General features: G+C 37.9%; 1 annotated feature.

Moving 5' to 3' along the window:
- Positions 253 to 840: an enhancer, noted in NCBI's record as "OCT4-NANOG hESC enhancer chrX:25068048-25068635 (GRCh37/hg19 assembly coordinates)". NCBI's record gives its function as "activates a minimal SCP1, AML or CMV promoter by ChIP-STARR-seq in primed H9 embryonic stem cells {active_cell/tissue: H9 hESC(primed)}" and the evidence as "EXISTENCE:reporter gene assay evidence [ECO:0000049][PMID:30033119]".

Raw genomic sequence — 4787 nt, 5'->3', positions numbered from 1 at the left:
AAAGGGTATTCTGGCATGAAGACTGTTTATATGTTATACTGGATTTGTGCTCATTTTCCATTAAACTCATTGAAGGGGCCTGGAAATTTGATTGTTTTCTATTTCGGAAATCCCACTTACCTAGAGAACCATCCCCAAATAGTGAAATAAGATACATGGCTTTACATATCATATGTGCCTCTGGAAAATGAGGGGCACAGACAATGGCAACACAAAGATATATTAAAAACTACATAATGTAACTTGTCTTAATATACTTTTCTGAGTCTAAAAATATGCCAGACCAAAAGAAACATATTTACATAAAAAGCAGACAAGGTCAAATAACAAAGAAAGCCCTTAATTAGTTGTAATCAACTTTAATTTGCATACCGTATATAATTCCTAAATGACTGTTAATAATAACTTTATATAATGGACTTCCAATTTTCATGAAAATGGCACATTTTGATAAGCAGACACAAAACCCTAGTACTAATAAGGTTTAATTTGCATACATTAGACTGATTATCCAAACAAAAGGATTACAGTATTACTTCTCCATACCTTTATGTCCTTATTATGCACATTTATTAACTTCACAAAAGCTAGCTGTTAGTGACAAACAATAGCCATGGTTGAAAGAGAAATCTACCGAGTGAATAAGGTACATTTTAATGCTAAGGAGCAAAGTTTATACATCATAAATGCTGAATTTAACTGTTTGTTAGCTAAAGGGACTAGAATTACACAAAGGGTGCTTCATCCTTTGCATAAACCAGCTTGTATTTGTGACCTGGAAAAACACTTTATCACTAACACTAACACTAACTTAAACACTAACACACTAACTTAAACACTAACACACTTTATCACTCCCATTTCATAATGAACTTATCTCAAGCTAGGAAGCCTCAACACTGTAGTATGCTGAGAATTCATGAACAGCCACAGAATTAAGCTTTAAATGTGTAGTGCTGGGGTACAGTGTTAATAAATATATTTCAACAAGCTTAGTTTTCAGAGGAGTAAATAATAATATAGGTGGCATTAGTACTGATATCGGTTCCTAATGGTATCATTTGTACCCTGCAATTAAAGTTTAAGCACTAAATAAAGCATTATTAGAAGATCCGGGTTGGCTTTTCTTATATGTGAACACAAATGAAGCTCACGAGTGTTTGGATAAAAGCCAAAAAACTTGAAACTTAACCACAAGTTACTTCCGGGGTTTTCCTCCACATTTTTGCTACTCGGCAAGATACAGAATTAGAACACCAGGAAATGATTTCCAAAGAAGGCAGGAGGAAATGGAAGCCCCAGGAGCTGAACTGAACAACACCATGGTTAACTCTGAACATTCTACAACATCTTTGCTGAAGGATCTTTAAACCTTTCCATTGTACCCATGAACTGCTGCTCTCTGCTCAGAGCTCCAAAGAACTACCAAGGGCTGGGTTAGGAAGGAGATAGATTTTAGCTGATAATCCTGTATTGAGCAGGATTCTCCAACTTTCCTTCTTGCATTTTCCAGAGCCTAGAAAATACATGATTCAAACGACCATTCAATGCCCATTTCTCAAATGCCTGGACACTATACAAGGAATGCTGGCTCAGAGATGCCCTTGTCCACTCCTCACCCCCAGGTGTGATTTCCCCACTGTAAATTCCTCACCTGGGAGCTGCTCTAAACGGCCACAGACATCTGACGTGAAACATCTTTAAACCAATCTAAGACTGGAAGGCTAATCGAAAGTTATGTTCTTTAAAGTGAGCAATGGAGTTCCAAAGAATTTTGTTTTTCCCAGTATGAACTTACAGCCTTTAAATCAATTTCAAACTGGACAAGTAGCAGTAAATACGTCTCCAGTATTCAGTGTAAGAATCACCACACAAGACACATCAAATAACAACAAATGCTACTGCTCTGAATAGAGATATTATCATGACCCCAAATTAGGGTAGTTAGAATTTCAAAATACCACAATAAAACAAGAATTCATTGTTTTTACCGTGCAATGACTACATTGCCATGAGATGGTGATAGTGACTCTACTATTTTGCCAATCCCAAAGTCAATATCTGAATGTATCCAAGATGTTGCCATTGACTTCAGCAGGGTCACCTACATATACAGGAACACCGAATTTTGGTCCAGAAAATAAACAAACACTATACTAATTCAGTTCATCCAAAGACAAAAATTTAGATGGCGACTTTCTACAAACTCAAAGGTTTGGCGTGTTGATCATTTTATTATGTCCTCAATTATCTCTCTTTATACGTGGATTTGCAAAAAGGGGAAAGTATGGCCCAGCCTGGTTAAGGGCGTATTCCTTTCGGCCAGGGGCAGAGCTGGAATGCGCATGGATTAATCCTCTCACCCAGGCAGCTGTTCCTTTTGCTGTTCCACTGTGGCCCACTGACTGGGAGGTTATGCTTCTGGACCCAGCACACAAACATAATACAACAACATGAGACAGGAAACGCAGTCTTGAAGAAGGAACATAACCTCTATTAGCATTTCCTTTGCTCAAACTGATAGCTCACGCTCCTGAATAAATAAATTCACACTCCAATTCTCTTTCTACCTTTTCTCTGTGCATTGTGGAATAGAAATAAAGATCTCTTTGTCAATTCAGATGTGCTGCTTTTCACGTGCTATGCTGCAGATCAGAGAGCACTTCAGATTATGCAGAGAACAAAGGCCAGCTTGCCTACTTACCTGATTACTGAGAAATGTCCATCTATAGCTCTGTCTTCTAATAGTACATCAGCTGCCACCGTCATTCAATCACATTCCAGCAAGACTTCTAGCAAAGGTATGAAACCTACCTCAAGCTTTAGAAGATAAGAAACACAAAAAGAAAATGTATGTAAATTACTGTCCTGTTAATCTCACCTACAAGTCCCCAAATCATTCTCGCCTAAAGGGGCTAGCTAGAACCGTACCCAGGCTCCAAATGAATCATTTGAAACATTCAAATTCTGTGCATACTATTGAATCTCATCTACTTGCATGAGAATATAAATGCATTGTACATTAGTTTGCCTGGGATATGAACGCTACTGAATCTACCCTCTTTTGCTTACTAATTCCACTAGTTAATATCTTTCAGTGAAGACTTGTCCAATCTTCTTTTCACCCACCACAGTCTTCTCTGAGAGTGAAAACTCAAATTACTTCATTAAGGTTAAGAATGCTAAAGCAATAAATCCTTCTGGTGAATTCTTAAATGCCCTTTGGAAGCAATAAAGGGAACTGGCAATGGTTAAGTTTTGTGCTTATTACTTTCCTCTCTCTCACTTAGCCCAGGATTCCTGTCTGTGAAACTGAGATGTTATAGCATATCCAAGAGAATGAGTTTTTAGGAAAAAAATCATTTTGCATCACAGATCTTATGTCACCACATCATCGGACAAAGCAAGTATATATCCACTGACATTTCACCTATGCCTAGGTGATCATGTCTCCCATTTTACCCAAGACAGTCCTGGGTTTTGCCTGTGGTTCTGGAGTAACTATTAAACACACTCCACTCCTTTTCACACTCCAAAGTGTTCTGGTTTGGACAATAAATTATATAGTCCATTAAAGCTGTTTCTCGTCATTAGCACATGTAAGCAAGTATTAGATAACATCATTTACAGATGTCTATGTTGAAGGTCCTTCTCAAGTTCTAGAACATTAGTTCAACTTCATATTGATAAACTATATTGATATTTCATATTGATACTTTATATTGATATTTCATGTTGACATTTTAACATTTTTAAATCACTTTTGGGTATTTACATTTTTTATCCATATAACAGGCCCAAATAGTGTAAGTAGAGATGTTAGCATCCTCATTGACAGCTAAGACAAAGATCATCAATTTACCTGACCAGACAGTAAGCCTTCTTTATTTCTTACTCTAGAAGTACTCTATTATGCCATAATAGAAGCCTATATAATAGTACCCCCATAAATATGTACAATTTTATGTGTCAATTAATAATAAAATAAAATACAAACAGTTTAAAAGGGGCCTATAGAATAGAACTGAGATCTCGCTGACTATTTTTGAGACATCATTCACCTTATTACTTTAAGTTTTAACTCAAGTTTACTTCCCTAGCAGAAGGATGCTTTTGAAACAAATCCTACAGCTTTTTGTGGCCTGACAGTAACCCTTTCACAAGAGTTGAATTTCTCATCTCTCCGGATCAAATCAAACCACAACCTGATTTAAGACTTGTTAAATTATAAAGTCGGTGGGGTTTGGACAGAGGAAGGAAAGGGACTCATGACAGTGGGGTTTTTTCTGTTTTGTTTTGTTTTTTGAGACAGAGTCTCACTCTGTCACCCAGGTTGGAGTGCAGTGGTGCAATCTCAGCTCACTGCAACCTCCACCCCCTGGGTTCAAGCGATTCTCCTGCCTCAGCCTCCCAAGTAGCTGGGATTACAGGTGTCCACCACCACGCCCGGCTAATTTGTGTATTTTTAGTAGAGACAGAGTTTCACCATGGTGGTCTGGTCAGGCTGGTCTCAAACTCCTGACCTCAGGTGATCCATCTGCTTCAGCCTCCCAAAGTGCTAGGATTACAGGCATGAGCCACTGCACCCTCAAGACAGTGTTTATAAGACTTCACATGTGATTCAGGCAAGTATTTTAAGCCTTGAAGCTCTGTCTTCTATATTAAAGAGAAATGAATCAAAACAGAAACATTTTCCACCAGGGGCATTTCCTAAAATGATACCTACCTAGTACTTTCTTTACATCCAACCTAGAATCACTGGGACCTGGGACACCAGAGAGCAAGGA

Source organism: Homo sapiens, chromosome X (genome assembly GCF_000001405.40).
Source record: "Homo sapiens chromosome X, GRCh38.p14 Primary Assembly".
NCBI classification, from domain to species: Eukaryota; Metazoa; Chordata; class Mammalia; order Primates; family Hominidae; genus Homo; species Homo sapiens.
This window is presented reverse-complemented; position numbering and strand designations above follow the sequence as displayed.